The sequence below is a fragment of the Homo sapiens genome, chromosome 7 (genome assembly GCF_000001405.40).
Source record: "Homo sapiens chromosome 7, GRCh38.p14 Primary Assembly".
In the NCBI taxonomy this organism is placed as follows: Eukaryota; Metazoa; Chordata; class Mammalia; order Primates; family Hominidae; genus Homo; species Homo sapiens.
In genome coordinates, this window is record NC_000007.14 from 149,279,627 (window position 1) to 149,298,012 (window position 18,386).

The window sequence follows — 18,386 nt, forward strand, 5'->3', positions numbered from 1 at the left end:
TCTTTGTTTTTTTTTTTTTTTTTTTTTTAATTTTTTTTTTTTTATTGATCATTCTTGGGTGTTTCTCGCAGAGGGGGATTTGGCAGGGTCATAGGACAATAGTGGAGGGAAGTGGGGAAGTGGACACAGCACATGTTTCAGAGAGCACAGGGTTGGGGGTAAGGTCACCGATCAACAGGAACCCAAGGCAGAAGAATTTATCTTAGTACAGAACAAAATGAAAAGTCTCCCATGTCTACTTCTTTCTACACAGACACGGCAACCATCCGATTTCTCAATCTTTTCCCCACCTTTCCCCCCTTTCTATTCCACAAAACCGCCATTGTCATCCCGGCCCGTTCTCAATGAGCTGTTGGGTACACCTCCCAGACGAGATGGTGGCTGGGCAGAGGGGCTCCTCACTTCCTAGTAGGGGTGGCCGGGCAGAGGCGCCCCTCACCTCCCGGACGGGGCGGCTGGCCGGGCGGGGGGCTGACCCCCCCACCTCCCTCCCGGACAGGGCGGCTGGCCGGGCGGGGGGCTGACCCCCCCACCTCCCTCCCGGACGGGGCGGCTGGCCGGGCAGAGGAGCTCCTCACTTCCCAGTAGGGGTGGCCGGGCAGAGGCGCCCCTCACCTCCCGGAGCACCAGCATTTTATCTTTGATTAAGCCAGAAGGAGAGTCTTTAGATGGGGAGTCTCCAACCTTCCCCACCAGGGACATCCTGCCAGGCATGGGGCCTGGGGAAGAAGGGCGGAGGCACCTGTGGCCGCAGCAGAGCCCCACAGGAGTGTGGGGGCCTTTTGGGAGTGGGGTGGGGTTGGGGTTGGGTGGTGGGACCTGGTGAGGGGCTTCCTCCTGAGGGTTCTCTCCCTCCCTCTCCAGCTTCTATCTCCCTGGGGACTGTGGGGACCCAGATCAGTCTGGGGTCCTTCCTGGTCTTTCCCCATCGTGGTCTGGTCTGGCCTGGCTGGAAAGGCACTGCATGAAAACCCAGGCATCAGATCCCAGGCATGTGGTCCGATGATGATGGAAAAGCTGTTCACGTGGTCTTGGCGTGGCTGGGCTCCCAGCCCCTCCGTGTCCACAGTCTGTGTCCCTCTGCCTAGAGTCTGTGCTTCCCTGAGAGGGCAGGGTGCCAGGACCCTCCCTCACATTAGGGACCCCTGAGAGCTGGGTGCTGAGACCTGGGGTCTCACGTCTCCAGCACATTGCTGTGATCACCTGCCACTGCCTTGGTTGTCCTTGTCACTGCTGTCCCAGCAGCTCCTTGCCTCCACCCAACCTGGGAGTTGAGTGAGACTCACACAGACCCAGGCAGGAATCTCAGGTCCCAGTGCCTCCTCTCTGTCACCAGTGAGTGTAGTGGCAGACAGGTCGTGGACGCTCTGTGTGGATTTGTCATGTGGATGAGCAGCTGAGCATGGGTGCAGCACTCACCACCTCTAGTCCACAGAGGCCTCTTAGGGTGGTCTGGGGGCATGCAGGGCCCCTGGGGTTCATTGTCTTTCACAGATGGTAACTAATGTCACCAGAACTCTTGGGGGTGGGGTCCTGCCACCCTCTCTGCTGTGCCCAGGGTCTCTGCTTCTGTGTCCCACTCCAGCTGACCCCTGACCTCTGGGCTCCCTGGCTCCTGGCCTTGCAGTTTGATCTCCCCTCCCCTGATGTCCTTAGCTTGGCCTCCAGGAATGAGGCAGATGACAACAATCAGGACTGAGTGACCGTGCAAGGCAGTGCCTGTGTGGCAGGGCTCAGTGAGCAGGACCCCTGCAATGTGCTGTGAGCACTGTGGGGAGATAGGGCCCGGGCTGAGGCTGGAAGCCAGGACTGGGCCGAGTGACCTGGGGGACAGGGTGGTGAGGTCCACTTGGAAACCAACATAGACTCCTTTGCCAGGTGGTGGTGTGGCCATCAAGACAGAGGCACAGTCTGAAGACGAGATGACGCCTGAGCGGCTCTTTCTGGGGGTGTCCCGAGGCCAGACCGAGTGTAGAATCCCCCGAGGGCCCAGGAACAGGCCTGGGGGCCCCAGCCGTCATCAGGCCCAGGGCATGCCCAGGGTGCGGGCAGGGGAGCCACGGCCACCGGGGGCCAGTGGGGAGACGCCCCGAGTCCTCTCCCGCAGGCGGCAGCGGGCATTCCCCTGCCCCGACTGCGGGCAGAGCTTCCGCCTGAAGATCAATCTGACGATTCATCAGCGGACCCATGTGGAGGAGGGGCGGCAGGAGGCCCCCGGCCGCTCGCCCACCAGCTGCGGGGACAGCCAGGCCATGCTGGAGCCGGGGGAGGTGGTGGTACCCGGCCCTGTCATCCGCTGGCTCCCCGAGGAGCCTGAGGGTCGCCGCTCCGTGGCAGGGGGCCGTGCCTTGGTGGGGCGGCGGCCTGCAGCCAGCAAGATGTACCACTGCAGCGAGTGCCTGCGCTTCTTCCAGCAGCGCAAGAGCCTGCTGCTGCACCAGCGCCTGCACACCGGCAATGGCCAGGGCTGGCCCGCCTGCCCCTACTGCGGCAAGGCCTTCCGCCGGCCCTCGGACCTCTTCCGGCACCAGCGCATCCACACCGGTGAGCGGCCCTACCAGTGCCCCCAGTGTGGCCGGACCTTCAACCGCAACCACCACCTGGCCGTGCACATGCAGACCCACGCCCGAGGCCAGGTGGGCCCACACTTCCCTGCCGCCCCCGCCCGCCACGGGAGCCTGCCCCTGCCCTGGCCCAGCCGGAAGGAGGAGGGCTGACCTGGCAGGAGCCCACAGAGGACCCCTGGCGGGGTCTCTCCCCTGTGCCTGACGCAGGTTCTTCCTTTTCCTGGGATGGAGAGAGGTTTGTTGTTTTTACCCATTCAAATGGGAAGCTAGCTGCCCTTCTGGTGACATTGTGTGTGACCGGGTGCTTTCTGTTTCCTGTTTGCACTCTTCGCTGCCTTTTCTGCATTCCTGACTTCTAAAAGATGCCTTAAGGCTTAAGGGATGCCATATTTTTGATAAGGCCTCTGGTAGGTACCACAGCCAAGAGGACCAGAGATCATGGCCCTTCCAGTATGGGGGCGATAGAGACATCGGGGACCTGGGATTTTTGTTTTGTGCAGAGATCTCCTGCCTGCTGTCACCATGAGAAACAGTGGAGTGGAGTGGATGGATGGCCTGACTTGAAGAAAGGGCCCTGGAAAGTTTTCTACTTTGCTATTTTGAAATTTTTTTCCCTTCTTATAGAGACTTTGAAATACTTTTGTAAATGTGTGTAGTTGTTAATGGAACTTTGCCTTTTGCAAAGTCGGAAAGAGTCGGCTTTTCCATGTGAGGCTCGCAGAGCTGAAAGGGGAGCTACGTCCACCAGCCTGTGGGTCTTTTGGTTTTTTTTTTGTTGTTGTTGTTGTTTTTTTAAGATGGAGTTTCACTCTTGTTGCCCAGGCTGGAGTGCAATGGTACAATCTCCGCTCACTGCAACCTCCGCCTCTCGGGTTCAGGTGATTCTCCTGCCTCAGCCTCCTGAGTAGCTGGGATTACAGGCGCCCACCACCACTCCCGGCTAATTTTTGTATTTTTAGTAGAGACAGGGTTTCATCATGTTGTCCAGACTGGTCTCGAACTCCTGATGTTAGGTGACCCGCACACCTCGGCCTCCTGAAGTGCTGGGATTACAGGCGTGAGCCACCACTCTTGGCCCAGCCTGTGGGTTTTGATGGGGATGTCTTGGCTGCTGTCTTGGAGGCACAGTGTCTCCCCATGTGTGTGTTTCTTGGCCCAGAGTGACTCCCAGTATTCCTAGTCCTTCCCCACAGGATAGTCACATCCATTATTTACTTTTGTTGTCAGCTGGGAGGGGAAACTGAAGCCTGGACACGTCTCCCCAAGGGCTCAGTGTTCATGGGTGTGTAAGATCCATTGACTGGACCCCAGAAAGCACCCTGAGGGGCAGTGCAGAGAGAGCCCAGGAAGCCCCTCCACTAGAGGAGGCCCTTGGTCTGGCTGAGGACCACGTCCACCCTGGGCCTCCAGGCCTGCTTTTCACATTAAAGGCGGGGCAGTCTCCTCTCAAAGGAGTTCTCCCTTGAGCACTTTGGGCTCTGGGGCAGAGTTGGGCTAGGAGATCTGGGTGAATCCTTTAGTCACAGCTAGTCTCATGTTCCTCTTCTGTCAAAGGGGTCATGGCCCCAGTGTGTCCTACCTCAGAGTTGTCAGGGTCAAAGTAACAGGCACTGGGACAAATATGAAGCCTAGCTTTGTGCTTCCTTTCAAATTCAGGGCCTCCTTTCTACTCCATTCCAGCCTTTTTTTCCTGTCAGAATCCCTCAGGAAGGACCTTTATCTTCTGGAGTGAGTGGCAGTTCCACTGGGTTCAGTGAAAGAGTCGCCCATGGGGCTCTGTTCCCCAGGAGTCCTTTGTATTTTGGTGAACAAATTCTTACCAAAGCATGAGATTCGGACTGTAGAAGTTCAGACTGCCTCAGTTCAGACTGCCTCATGGGGCAGTCTGGAGGTCAGCTGGCTTCTGGTGTCTCTCATCACACCACTGCGGACGCTGTCTGTAGAGCAGCCTTGGTGTGGGTGACTCTGAAGCTGGAGTGATGGGACCCCAGCTATCCTTGTTTTTTACCGCCTTGTCTGGCACTGTGACCACGCTTCAGGGCTGCTTCTGGGGGTCTTGGTCCCTGGATGTGCCATTTCCTTGCCCTTCTGACCCTCACACTTCTTCCAAAGTCTTGAGCAGAGTTGGGGGCCAATGGTAGCATTGCTGTCATCTCTGGGAGGAGAGTGAGTATACAAGTCAGTGACAGTTCAGCCAGGCTCCCTTGGGTTTGGGAAGAGGCACTGCCCTTCTGTGCTGTGGATCCTGCTTGTCTGCTCTGGAGTCCCCCCACCCTTGCCAGGAGCTTCACAAACCAGAGACGGGCTGTCAGCAAGAGCTCAGACAGGATGTGGTGCAAGTGCAGGTGCACGAGTTTAACCCTCAGCTGCAGGAGCTAGTCTCAGGTGTTCTGGGGATGCCTCAGGCTAAGAATTTTGCCGACTTTCTGGGCTTGGTTGGCTAATGCCAAATGCCCCTGCTTAAATATCACAAGGTGCTGATTCTCCTTTTTTCTTTTTTTCATACCAATGTGCTCAAACTTTGAGCTAGGTCTTGTGAGTTTGCCTAGCACTCAGACCTGTTTAAGTAACGTTCTTTACATTGAAACAAGTCAACCGAAGCTTTGTGGTGCAGGAGCTGAGGGTGCCCCAGACTCAGTGGGAGCCCTGGTTGGGCCCCAAACTCTCCCAGCAGGGTCCTCGGTTTCCTCATTTGTGAAATAAATGAGTGGGCCACGACGTTAATAAGCCCAAGAGAACTGTGAAGGTGGTAGTCCCTTGCCCTAATTGGTGCTCAATAAAGTTGTTGGCATAAACGAGTGCGTGCGCTTGATCTGGTTTCTGCTCTCTGGGAGGTGAGTGGCCGTGCGGGGCGGTGGCAGCTGGCGACACCTGCGGGCTGTTGGGCACCAGCCCGGGGCGGGCGCTCGCACCTGTCGGGCGTGCACAAAGGCCCGGCGCACGCTGTGGGGGCGGGGCCTCCCGGGTTGGCCAATGAAAAGCTGGCACTGGGTCGGAGGCGCCAGCCAAGTGGGGGGCGGAGCTTCCACCACCGGCCAATGGGGATCTGGCTTCGGGATGTGGGCGGGGTCCACCCGGTCGCAACCCGTTGAGTCTCTGCACAGCTGCCGCGCTGACGCGTTTTCCGCGTGTCCCGAGCCCCGGCGGCCCCGCGAGCTCGGTCCGTGCGGGGAAAGCAGGGCTGACGCCGTCTGCGGAGAGGACTGCGCAGCCGGGCTTGTGTGGGGCCGCGCGTAACGGCAGCGGCTACTCCCTGCCCAGGCCGGCCAGCACAGGGCCATGGCCGAGGCGGCTGCGCCTCCGGTAAGGGCGACCCTCATGGAGGCTTGGGGACGTGGAGCCGAGTCCTGAATTCGCCAGGAGGATGTTCCACCCCCCACCATCTCCGGCGACCTCCTGGAACTGGGGAGGGCTCAGCCCGGGTGGCAGGAGGAGGACAAGGACTCCTAAGGCCACACGATAAACGCCCTTCTCGCTCTCCGTTTCCTTGCCTGTGGAATAAGGTGATTGGCAAACACAAGATTTGGAGGTTCCCTCCAGCCCTGATATCCACTGGACCCGGCTCTGGGGGGACAGTGGACTGTGGACGTCTTCATTCCAGACTCTCCAAGATTCCTCTTTCTGGACCCGCCTTTTGGCACCGCCCCCAAGTCGACCATCTCAAAGATCCACCCCTCCCTCCAAGCTGAGACCAGTGCCATGGCCTGGGGAGGGATGTCCGCTGCAGTCTGCTGGAGCCAGAGTCTGGCTCCTGGCTGTGAGGTGGGCTCTAGACTTGAGCTCTGATTCCAGTCAGGAGGATTCTGATGCCTGCCCACTCTTTCTAAAATTCCCTGACAAGTCCTTCTGGCTGCTGCTGAGGGGATCTGCATTGTGAGGACTTTTGGTTAGGGGCTTCAGGCTCAGGCTTGACCTAGGCCATTGCTGGCCTGCATAAGAACTGTTGAGATTTTCATAGGTTTTTAAAGGTAGAGGGGCCATCTCCTAGTATAAATAGCTTTGCAGTGGTTTTGGATCCATTCCCGGGTGGCACATTTGTGGCAGGGCATTGCAGGGAGGTGAGGATGTTTGCCCCTAATCTGTGAAGACGGTGCTGCCTCCTCTGAGCTCCACTTCATTGTATCAGACAGAGGCCAGACTTGAGGATGAATAGCCATGCTGTGTGGGGAAGGAAAGGGCCAGGTATCTGGTGTCTGGTACCTGGTATGTGTGGGACGCTTTGCTGAGTACGTTTATTGGGGAGGTCTCTGAGAAACTCAGTTGCACAGAATTGGATTAATCACAGTCTTTGGTTCATAACACATTCAGATCACTGGTCCATAGCCTTTATATTTGTTTTTAAGAATATAACAGGTGCTAATGTCATACACCATGAGTGCTTTTTCATATCTTCAGTGCATTTCATCCACACAGCCACCTTAGGAGTGAAGGAAGTTAGGATGTCCCCATAAGTGAGAAAACAGAACCTTGGATAAGTAATGTGGCTTGACCTCAGGTTGTGCAGGATTCAGATGGCAGGAGAGGCACTGAGTCAAGTTCTAGGTGAGTTCCATTTCCAGGAGCACTCCCTTTATACCTCAACTGTTCCCTGCTGAGGCATTCCTGGATTTTAAATTTTATTTCTAGCAATACACAATATATTTTCCACCTCCTGTGAACAGGGTATTCCTTGTAATGTTTCTTTGTTCTTTCCTTTTCTGCTTTCAACTTTCTCTGGCCCCTGTTGCCTGGCAGCTAGGAGGGTGGAGACCACCCTGGGGCTGGTTGACAAGGCACCTGGATCATGGGGATGTGGTATCAGGCGGGGCAGGAAGTCACACCAGTAGATGTCAGGGTGGATGGGCCTTAGAAATCACCAAGGCAGAACAACAGGCCTTTCTCCCCTTGAGCCCACTAAGGGGTGTGGGCTTGTTCTAGAAGAAGGTGAGGAGTCAGATTGCTGCCTGGGTGTGTGTGCACTGGACCCCAGGTCCCCTGGCAGGTGTTCTGGACTTGGGCTTCTCACCATTTCTTGGCTCCTGCTGCTGGCCGTGTTCCCTAGTTGGTTGAGTAATTGGCTGAGTAAATAGAGCCAGTGAGTGGTAGAGCTGGGATCCACTCTCTGTTCATTTATGATGGTAATGTTAGTTATGTCATTTTCCGTTGCCCCGGCTCTTGGTTCAGGATTCTTCTCGTGGGGGCTTTGTGCGGTCCAGTGTCTGCTGTCTTTGACTATTAGGTGGGGTCTGTTTGGGGGTCTGACCAGTGAGGCCGCCTGGCACTCAGAAGACGTCTCCCCCATTCCGGAGAATCCTGACCTTCCTGTATTTGGGAATGGCTCTGGGCTGCTCTCCTTCTGGTGGCTGACTTGCGAACTTGTGTCTGGTTGCAGGACTGGCATTGCGGACTGACCTCCAGGGAGAGGCCCAGATCTGATCTGCAGAGATCTCCCTTCCGGCTATCGTGGCTGCTGTTCAGGTGGTGGAGAAGAAGATGGAACCCCAGGCTGCCTGGCTACAGAGCCTGGAGGGATGCATGTGGACAGCCAAGAAGAAGCTGGCTGACTGCGAGAAGGTGGCTGTGGAGTTCGGGAACCAGCTGGAGGCAAGTGGGCCGTGCTGGGGACCCTGCTGCAGGAGTACGGGCTGCTGCAGAGGTGGCTGGGGAACGTGGAGAACCTGCTGTGCAACAGGAACTTCTGGATCCTGCAGTTGCCCCCGGGCAGCAAGGGGGAGGCCCCCAAGGTACAGGAGCTGGGTGTAGGAGGAGAGGCCCTGCCTGGACTCTGTAGGGTGGCCATATGCATAGCGTCGCCACAGCAGCATACCCTTGGCTGCTGAAGCCTGACCTCTGGGCGTCCAAGGCAGTCACTAGTTGACTTTAAAGGGCTTGAAAAATGTCAGAAGAAAATTGTGACACAGAAAAATGTCTGCTTTGGAAGATGGAATGGGGTTTGTTGGGAGAGATATGGTTGTGCAGCAGTGGTTGTACATGGTCTCTGAGAGTGAGGACTGGCACAAGTAGGAGATATGTGTGCCTGGGAGAGGGGAGAACCCAGGAGCCCCGATCCTAGATCCCATTAGTCACTGGTTCTGCCCTTTAGCTGAAGGCAGTGTGATGGAGTTGAGTTTGCATTTGCTTAGTAGTTTGGCCTGCGATGCCCTCTGCTTCGGGGGAAGGGAGAGGGGACGAGTTGGTTTTGGCTGCTCCGTGAAATGGTTGTTATTCATGGTGGGTGCAGGCAACTTGTACTTCCAGGTGCCTGTGACTCCTGAAGACACGGTCGGGTATTTCTCAGAGCAGCAGGGTGGCGGCCTGGAGGACTCATAGAAGGAGTTCTGCAAATGTGTTGTGAAGGGGAGCTGCGACACCCTGAGCTTCCTGGGTGAGAGGCTGGCCTCTGGGGGCCTCCACACCTTGGTTTTACTCCTTTATTCAATCACATGAGACTCCTGAATCTCAGAGCAGGAAGCATGTGGAGATCATTTCTTCAGCCCTCTGTCTTCAGGCAGGTAGAAGGTATCTGTCATTCTCATTTTGAAGTTTTATGTAATGAAATGCAGAGGTTATGTGACTTGTTCCAGATTTCTTGGAGTAAATAAACTGGAATCTGCTCCTCGCTGTCCTGCCCTTCGCGTGGTGCCAGAGGCAGCTCCTGCGTGCACACCTGTGGCTCACCAGCCTATCTGCTCCTGGGGAGCTGGGGCCTCCCCTGGTTTACATCTGCATCTCTAGGACTCCCACGCTGCACTCTGCACACTGAGTTCTCAGGAGATTCCTGCTGAGCAAAGAAGGATGAATTGTAGGCCTGCTTTTTTTTTTTTTTTTTTTGAGACGGAGTTTTGCTCTTGTTTCCCAGGCTGGAGTGCAATGGCGTGATCTCAGTCACCACACCCTCCGCCTCCCGGGTTCAAGTGATTCTCCTGCCTCAGTTTCCTGAGTAGCTGGGACTACAGGCATGGGCCACCACACCCGGCTCATTTTATATTTTTAGTAGAGACGGGGTTTCTCTATGTTGGTCAGGCTGGCCGCGAACTCCCAACCTCAGGCGATCCTCCCGTCTCGGTCTCCTAAAGTGCTGGGATTACAGGAGTGAGCCACCAGGCTTGGCCAGGCCTGCTTTTAAGGATGCCCCAGGTCCAGAAAATCAGGGCCAGGCCTGGGAAGTTCGCTCCTTCAGGCAGGTGTGCGTCTTCGTGTGAGACTTGATCAGACCTGGGTTTTTGTAGCTACCCCACTCCGAAGCTCTCCTGCGTGAACCTGGAATTCTCACTGCTTTGGGCAGGTGAGCAGTTGGCTTTTTGTCCAGTCTCTCCCCTTGTTGGGAGGCTGAGGCCCAGAACACAGTGCCTTCCCTCTCTTTGCCTGGCTGCAGAGGTTCCTCCTTCAGAAAAGGGTCCCAGTGTGCTGTGGGAGGCAGGGTGAGGAGGCTGTCCGGCCTCAGGCGAGGAAGGAGAAGCACGTGGAAGGAAGGGCAGCAGGAAGCCTGAGCCTGACTGCCATGGATGGCCAGACCCACTCTTGGGCCTCAGTTTCCTCATCTGTCTGGACTAGGTGACTTGTCTATGTGGGCAGTGGATGGGAACCCTTCCTCTTGGCCTCATGGCACTCACTTCTAGCCCACGAAAACTGAGAGGCCTTGCCCACCCTACTCTCCATGCCCCTCAACACACGCCTTGAAGAGGCTGCTCCAAGCCTAGCAGAACACCCTCCCTTTCCAGGCCTGCAGAGGACAGCCCTGCCACTGCCCTTTTCCTCCCCACAGGCCAGGCCACCACCAAGCCAGATCTGGCACCAGTGGAGAAAGGAGACAGGCAGGCAACTGCAGCCTGCCCAGTGCGGAGAGGGGCCAGAGCCCGGGCACTGGTGAGTCCCTCAGGGTGTGGGCCTGGGCCTCTCCACCTGCATCTGGTAAGGGCATCTGGTGTCAGAAGGCCCCCTTGGAGAAAGAGAGGCAGAGGTGGGGGGAAGTGAACTGCTGGGCCTCACAGCTGGTGGTCAGGGCCAGACCCGGGTGTTCTGACACCCAGAGAGGGCCTGGGCCATTTCCCATACTCCATGTCCCTTTGGAGCCATCGCTTGGCCTGAGACCAGTCTGGAGGCTTGAGGGGAAGGGCAGAGGGCATAGCAGATACCAGGAACCTGAGACAGGCCGTCTTGGTGCATGCAGGGTTCCGGGAGGAGCGACGGGCTGGCGGCCTCCGTGAGACCTGCCCTGACACTGCATCTGCTCCCAGGGCCCTTGGTGCCTGCGTGCATGTCCTCCTCACTTTGCAGCCTAATCCCTGCTTCCTCTCCAGGCTTCACTCTCCTTGGGTGAAGGGACTGAGTCTTGCTGTGTTATCCCCCTCCTCTAGCACCTTACACAGTGCCTGGCATGTACTGAGATTATAAATAATATATAATTACTAAATGAACAGTGAACCAGAATAGAAGCTCAGTTTCCTCCATTTTTCAAATAATAGCATTGGATCAGAATGCAGTTTTTTTTTTTTTTTAAAGGTGAGAACCCTTTATTCCAGTGACAACCAGAAACATATAACATGGGGACAATGGGACCATTCTAGTTGAAGGACAGGAACCCTGGAGCTGGTTGCTCAGAACACAGTGGATCATGCCAAGATACTGCTGCTTGCTTTCTAGATTCTTAGATTTGGGGAGGAAGGCTCCCCTGTGAAGCAGACTCTTTGAGTAGGTAAATTAAGTCACAGTGAGCCCAGAGTGGGGAAGAAGGTGGGGGTTGACAGGGGTACTGAGTGGCTGGCATGTAGGTCCAAGGCTAAAAGTGGCATTTCCAGGCACCTGCAGGGGGCAGGGGCACCAGAGAGAGAGCAGGGTTGAGTAAGGGGTGGGGTGTGGCAGGATGCAGGTCACATAGCCCAAGCTGGGGAGCCCTGAGCGAGAGGCCAGCTGGGCAGAGCGTGGCTCTTGTGGTGTCACTGAGCGTGGCTCTTGTGGTGTCACTGAACGTGGCTCTTGTGGTGTCACTGAGCGCTATTACAGCAGCAGCCTGGCCAACAGCTCCTCCCCTGTGGTGCAGGGAGGGGAGCTGAGCCCAGGCACTGCAGCCACCCCCGTCTTGGGCTGGCCCCCTGCAGCAGGTGTGGGCAGGACTGGGGCATGTTCAGAGGCTGTGGCCGGTGCCACAGTCCCCAGGGCTGAGCAGCTCCTAGGGGGATGCAAAGCAGCAGGCAGGGCCTGGCCAAAGAGCTGCAGGCACGGCTCTGCCATGAGGCTGGGCTTGCACCTGAAGGCAGCTCAAGGAAGCGTGGTGGGTGGAGGAATGAGACCTGCTCAGGGGATTAGGGTTGCCCTACGGTCTGGGTAGTCCTTGCCATTCTAGCAGTTACTTCTTGTTTTCCATTCTCTGTAAACTTTTCCAGATTTCTCCAGGAGAGAGCTTTGTTTACCCCCAAGGACTGGGCTTCACTCCTAAAAGCTGCTTCTAAACCCTTTGCGTGCAGGCCCCAGACAGTGTGGGTGCATGACTGCTTTATCTGTTGGATGTTTCCACAGGCAGGCTGTTGCTGCCAGAATTCTAGAAGCAGTGTAAACGGGCTGCTCATTCATTAGGTACGGGCAGGGTCTGGGCACTGGACTTTCAACACTTTCCTCCCGTGATTCTGGTGCCGTTAGTTTGAAAATCACGGCTCAGAGATCCCTCTGAACAGAAGGTGACCCGCCTCTAGCCATTGAAAGTGTCTATGTTTTGATTATGCAAATGGATTCTTACACGAATATGTTCTTACTAAGCAATGTGGAGGTCATGGGTAAAGCTAAGCGGCTCTCTGCTGGCCGCCCACCCAACCCCAGGCCCCTCCCAGGGTAGCCACTGGGATCATTCTGCTGCATAACCTTTCAGGCTATTTTCTCATGCACATACTTACTTGTGTGTACTGTGGAAAAATACAGGGGTTAAGAACACACAGATATACACTACGTATCTTCTGCGGTTTGCTGTTTTCACTCAACAATATGTCTTAAGGATCTTTTCGTGTTGATACATTTTGATCAATTTCCTCTCGAAACGGTTTCCAGGGCCCTGGTTAATGGTGGAGCCAGCCTGGTGTGTGGCAGCCAGGTCGGGCTGGTGTCTTCAGAGTGGCTGTGTCAGAAGGGCCTCGTGTATGACAGAAGTAAGTGAGCTGTGCCCTGGCTATAAAATCTGGCAGCGTTGAGCGACTGGACAGCTGTTAGATATGGGTGGCTTGGAATGTTCTCCATTCATTCATTTATTTAACAAAAAATGTGCCTACCCTGTGTCAAGCCTGGAGCAGGAAGAGGAGCAGTAACTATTCCCTGATCTTTAGATAGGCCTTAGAGGTGGGCACAGATTGGTGAGGTCGCCCAGTCCTTGAAGGACACCCACCTGAGGGCACTGTAGGATCTGTATTTGGCTGCTGTAACAGAGACTGAAGAAAACAAAACCAAAACCGCAGCTTCCACACGGCAGGGGGTGGTCTCCCTCCCGACAGAGCTTGTTTGGCAGCTCACAGGCCCAGGCTCCTTCCAGCCTACCGCTCCACCATTCCTGGGGCCAGGCCTTGTTGCTGTGGTTCGAGATGGCCCGCGACCATGCCCACGGCCCTGTTGAAGGAAGCAAGGGGATGGGCTGGGGGTTGGGGTGCCCTTTCCCTTTTCCTTTAGTTGATGCCTTTCCCTTTAAGCAAACACATTGGTTTCTTGTACATTTAGTACTTACTGTGCACTTTATAAACATTGACCCATTTAAGCTTATTCCAACTCTCAGTTTCCTCAGATCATAGATGAAGAAACTGAGGCACAGAGAGGCCGAATCCACTGTCAAAGGTCCTGTAGCTGGAGGAGGCAGCGCCCCTCACATCCATTAGTCAGACCAGCCACAGGGCACACCTACTTGCAGGGAGGCCCAGCAACAAGGTCTGGAGTCTAGGAGGCCACATGGCCAGCAAGACACCAAGTGCTCTGTTAGTGTTGAAGCGGGGTGGATGGCATTGGAAGATGGCTGGTCATCCCCGTCACAGCTCACAGCCCGTCATTCACAGACCAAGCTCCCCTGGCTTGACTCACTGCCATGTCACACGTCCCCAGGATGTGCTGTGCCTTTGCTGGGACCTACAGTTCTGTTGGGAGTCTCTTTGGTGTCATGGTCCCAACTGAGGCTGTGAGAGGAAAGATGTCCTATGACACCTGCTGCCCTCAGGGCCTCTTCCTCTTTCCCTTAGACGCAGGCCAGCTGGAACGTCCCCAGGCGTTCTGTCCTGGATCAAGCAAGAGGAAGGGGCAAGTGGGAGGAGCCAGCAGGGCCCACAGGAGACCACTGTGGCACACCTGTGCTCAGGTAAGGCATGCTGGGCCATGTCTCCTCAGGCCTGTATCCCTGGGCCTTAGGAGACATGGCGTCCCCTGGGGGGCCTCACAGCGCCTCTAGTGGGGCCTTCTCCTGGGCGAGGCTCCTGAGGGAAGGCAGTGCGCAGCCTTGGCTGTGTCTCTGCAGAATCTTGTATGCTTGCTGCGTGGTGTCCTCCCATGCAGTTGCACGAAATCATTCTTTTATTCCTGATCCTGTTTCCTGTTTATTTCATGAACTTGTCTGTAGGCAGCATGGTGCTGGGCGCTGCAGGGGCTCATTAATGCATGAGACACAGATTCCACTCAGGAGAGAGAAGACGAACACAGACACAGTACACGGTGGGAAGGGGCACTTCCATGTCTGCAGCCAGAGAGCCCTTTCAGAATCTGACCCAAAAGATGGCCAGTATTCTAAGAAAAAGCACATATGCTTACGATGTGCAAACAGCTGAAGGTGTTCTTTCAACTATAGTAAAAGGGGTGTCTCGGTGGCCACAGGCGGCCCAGATGAAGGTGCTGCTGGGGAAAATGTCACCACGCTGGTCTTGGGAGGCTCCATGAGAGGGAGGTGGGACTTGAGAGGGGCTTAGAGCCTGGGTGAGAGGCAAAGAGGAGGCCAGAGACCTTCTGGGTAGAGAGGACCCTCGGGCCAAGGCTCAGAGGTGGATGAACGGGGGAGCCTTAGGTGGAACAGCACAGGGTGGAACCCGGCAGAGGACAATGGGAGCTGATGGAGGCTAGGCCAGAGTGGGGCCTTCAGTGATGCTTGAACCCCAGGCTTCAGACTCCAGAAGAGCCAAGGGCAGGTGGCCCGGCTGCAGAGCCTGTGGCAGGCAGGCCTCACTCACTATACCCTTCTGTGTCCTTTGCCTGCAGAGACCTGTCTGGGCCGCAGAGAGGAGTCTGGAGGTAGGGTCCAAGGGCCACGAGCCAGTTTGGGCTGCTGGAGGGGGGCCTGGCAAGGAGGGCTCTCGGGGAAGCACCTGTGGGGGTCTGCTTCCTGACCCCAGGGAGCTAGAGGCCTCCCTCCCTCCAGGCCCCCCGAGCCAGGCTGAGCCAGCCGCTAGGGGCACGGAGCAGTGCCCACCTTGCGCCCAGTGTGGCCAGAGCTTCGGCCAGAAGGAGCTCAGTGCGCCGCACCAGCGCGTGCATCGTGGCCCCCGGCCTTTCGCTGGTGCTCAGTGTCCCAAGAGCTTCACGCAGCGGACCACCCCCGCCAGCCACCGTCGGGCGCACGTGGCCGAGTGCACCTACACCCGCGCCCAATGCGGCAAGACCTTCCTCCAGCAGTCGACGCTCACACCCACTACTGCGCGCACATCAGGGAGAAGCCCTACGAGTGCGCCAAGCTCTTTGGCCGCCTGTCCACGCTGCTGGAGCACCGGCACATGCACACGGGTGAGCGGCCCTTCCAGTGCACGCAATGTGGCTGCTGCTTCAGCCGCCTGTCCACGCTGCTGGAGCACCGGCACACACACATCAGCGAGAAGCCCTTCCAGTGTGCGCAGTGCGACAAGCGTTTCACGCGTCTGGCCAACCTGACCGTGCACCAGAGAGTGCACTTGGGCGAGCGCTCCTTCCAGTGCGCCCAGTACAGCAGGAGATTCATGCAGAAGCCCGGCTTCCTGCGTCATCTGTGTGGCCACTCGCAGGAGAAGCACTATCCTTGCAGCCCTTGTGGTGAGAGCTTCACCTGTCCCTCCTGGCTTGTGCGTCACCAGGACAGCCATGCTAGCCAGGCCTCTCCATCTTGCCTGGTTTGTGAGAGGGACTCCTCGACCGATGAGCCGCCCACGGGCCTCAGGGGTGCAGTGTGGGGGAGCACCCCTAGTAATCCTTCTGCCGCACTCAGATTTGAGGGCACTGGTACAGAGCTGGGCCTCAGGAGGTGCCCTGGGGACAGGCAGCGGGGCAGTGGTGATCAGGAAGGTCTTGGGTGGGGGTCCCTTGCCCAGTTCTCTTTCTCGCGTGAAGATGGAGAATGTGGGTAGCACCCAGAGAGCTCCCTAAAGGGGCTCTGAGGGCCCAGGGGCAGTTGGTGCCCCTTAAATCTGAGCAACCTCTCCTGGGGGCCACTTCTTGGCCAGGTCAAAGTATTCTGGCCATGGTCTTGGCTTCCCGGGGGAGGGCTGTTCTCCCAGGCACTGAGATTGCCCATGGGCCTTCTCGTTGCAGGGAGGCGGCTGGGATAGAGGCCAGTCCCAAACACCTGAGCCTCACTGAGGGGAAGGCCTGGGCTTGGAGATGGGGTGCGCAGGAGTGGCTGGCTTTGCCTTGTTCTATTAGGCGAGTGATTTTCAGAGACAAAGGTCCAAGTTAGGAGACGTAATTACTCAGTGCTTTGAAGGGACATCCAAGGTGCTCACTCTTAGCCATAGCCGTTGGTTTCCTGGATGCTGACTGTGAAGATTCTAAAGTGCTTCCTAGGGTGGGCGGTGGTGGCAGGAGGCCTTGGACGGAGTCCAGGCCAGACCCAGCCTCCTGTTTAATAGGCTGAGCCCAAGCGTCCCTCAGATGCGAATCCAACAGCCTTGGTGAGTTGTAAGATTTCATGGAAACTTTCCCTGACTTCTGTCTCCCCCTTGCTCCCCATTACCTGGGAAAGGCAGCTTTGTGGGCCATGTGTCCCGGAAGGGCCTGGGCTGGCTGTGGCCCAGTGCTCAGGACCAGCCATCTTGGCCCTCACAGCGCCCTGCCCAGTTGGTGTAATATTTGTCTTCAAGCCATTGTTGGAGCAGGCAGGCAAAGGGGGCTTTCTGAGGATCCAACGTGTGCCAGCCACTGGGATACAAAGACAGGCCTGGTTCCTAGCTGTGGGGCTGGGAAGGGTATCTGACATCAATGGTGGCACCTGGCAGAGGACACACAGACAACAGCAGGCAGCATGGGCTGCAGTAAATGTTGCAGAAGCACCTAAAGGTTGAGCAGAAGGGAGGTAGGAAACCTGGACATGGCCTGCCAGCAGCTGAGAAGCCCCCCTGAGATCCTGGCGGCCCCGCCACCATCTGAAGATTTAGGCCAGTCCCTTGGGCTTTTCAGGCAGGCCCTTATGGTGGCCGGCCAGTTTGGGACCCTCCCATTTTGATACATTAGTTCCCCCTCAGCTACTGGAGATCTCAGCCACAACTGGGCTCCAGCTGTGACCCAGACTCCGCCAGGATCCCCTAGATCCTCAGCTGTCAGATAATCCCCTGTCCCCCTCCTCCTCCCCACTCAACCCCCAGTGCTTGACATGAATGCATGTGTGCTTCCTAGGACTAGAGGCCGGTGCTGTCTCTACCATTGCCCTCACTTTAAGGGGCACACGAGCAGATGGTAGCAAGCCCTGGAGAGCAGCACTCGGGCAAGTGAGGTGGCTCTGGCACTGCCCCTGGACTTTCATGTTTGTAGCTTGAGCTGGTTTTAATTGGAAGCTCTGTGATTTACATAATCACTTACAATCTCTGTAAATAAGGAACTATTTATGAGGAATTGTAAATTTCCTCTCTCCCCCTTCTTACCCTGTCTGTGATCTTGTCTGTGATGCAGTAATGATATTCCACTCTAGGTTCCCATGATCAGTGGTGAAATATAGTGATTTTCACCTGTGCTTCCATTCTGAAGTTCTGGAAAGAAGTACTGGATGGACTGAAGTCCAGGACAACGTCCCAAAGAAAGGCAGAGTCCAGGTAGGCTTGGAGGACCAAGCCCTGGATGAGCACTGGAGGGCAGAGGCCTCAGTGTCCAGCACTGTGCCCTGCACATGGAAAGCCCCTACGTTTGTGGAATGAATGAATAATAAAAATGTTTTCATAAGTGATGCCATTCTCAATTTTAATGTCATTGATCTGATAATGCAAATTTTAACAGCACATCTTTACCACTTCCTGCCTTAAATAATAGTTGTTAATACATTTCCAGTATTTCATTGAATCTAAGATCCATTGATTGTAAGACACACCCTTATTTTCTACTTCACTAAGCAAGGAAAAAATGTGTCAATTTCACCATGACTCTTCTCAGTGCAGGATGATAACTAGGTGGTGACATGTGAGCCACTGTTACTATTCTTGACAATGTCAGAGCAACTGATTCATTTCTTTGTTGAGACAGGAGTGGAGTGGCACAATCACGGCTCACTTTATCCTTGACATCCCAGGGCTCAGGTGATCCTCCCACTTCAGCCTCTCGAGTAGCTGGGACTACAGGTGCACGCCACCATGCCTGGCTAATTTTTTTTTTTTTTTGTAGAGACTGAGTTTCACCATGTTGCCCTTGCCCAGGCTGGTCTGGAACTCCTGGGCTCACACAGTCTGCCCACCTCATCCTCCCAAAGTGCTGGGATTACAGGAGTGAGCCACTGTGCCCAGCCAAATGATTCTTTTTTTTTTTTCCCCCTGAGACGGAGTCTTGCTTTGTCGCCCAGGCTAGAGTGCTGTGGCACCATCTCAGCTCACTGCAACTTCCACCTCCTGGATTCAAGCAATTCTCCTGCCTCAGCCTCCTGAGTAGCTGGGATTACAGGCACGT

General features: G+C 55.9%; 1 protein-coding gene and 1 pseudogene across 6 annotated transcripts in view, besides 3 other annotated features; both read left to right on the forward strand.

Annotated features, from left to right (window-relative positions):
- The window catches only part of ZNF783 (zinc finger protein 783), a 22,799-nt gene extending 17,431 nt beyond the window's left edge, over positions 1-5,368 (forward strand). For 3 of the 5 annotated variants that reach the window (NR_144367.1, XM_047419692.1, XM_011515701.3), the window contains one exon: positions 1,879-5,368. Coding sequence is in view for 3 of the 5 variants with exons in the window: in XM_047419692.1 (XP_047275648.1) it covers positions 1,879-2,717 (839 nt within the window). In the remaining 2 variants the exon portion in view is untranslated. The remainder of the gene's footprint in view (positions 1-1,878) is intronic. The other 2 variants (NR_144366.2, NM_001195220.2) reach the window with 1 other exon arrangement.
- Positions 1,807-2,343: an enhancer, noted in NCBI's record as "H3K27ac-H3K4me1 hESC enhancer chr7:148978524-148979060 (GRCh37/hg19 assembly coordinates)". NCBI's record gives its function as "activates a minimal SCP1, AML or CMV promoter by ChIP-STARR-seq in naive H9 embryonic stem cells {active_cell/tissue: H9 hESC(naive)}" and the evidence as "EXISTENCE:reporter gene assay evidence [ECO:0000049][PMID:30033119]".
- Positions 5,357-5,706: a silencer, noted in NCBI's record as "silent region_18754". NCBI's record gives its function as "represses an Ori minimal core promoter by ATAC-STARR-seq in GM12878 lymphoblastoid cells {active_cell/tissue: GM12878}" and the evidence as "EXISTENCE:reporter gene assay evidence [ECO:0000049][PMID:35858748]".
- Positions 5,655-17,686, forward strand: LOC155060 (AI894139 pseudogene; annotated as a pseudogene). The gene is made up of 11 exons (NR_036573.1): positions 5,655-5,870; positions 7,939-8,150; positions 8,805-9,831; positions 9,922-10,100; positions 10,312-10,412; positions 12,585-12,682; positions 13,751-13,866; positions 14,125-14,390; positions 14,754-14,786; positions 14,914-15,557; positions 17,425-17,686. The product of NR_036573.1 is annotated as an AI894139 pseudogene (transcript).
- Positions 5,807-5,984: a silencer, noted in NCBI's record as "fragment chr7:148982524-148982701 (GRCh37/hg19 assembly coordinates)". NCBI's record gives its function as "represses an EF-1alpha promoter that drives an FKBP-Casp9 reporter gene in an ReSE screen in K562 erythroleukemia cells {active_cell/tissue: K562}" and the evidence as "EXISTENCE:reporter gene assay evidence [ECO:0000049][PMID:32094911]".
- Positions 17,687-18,386: the final 700 nt, after the last annotated feature.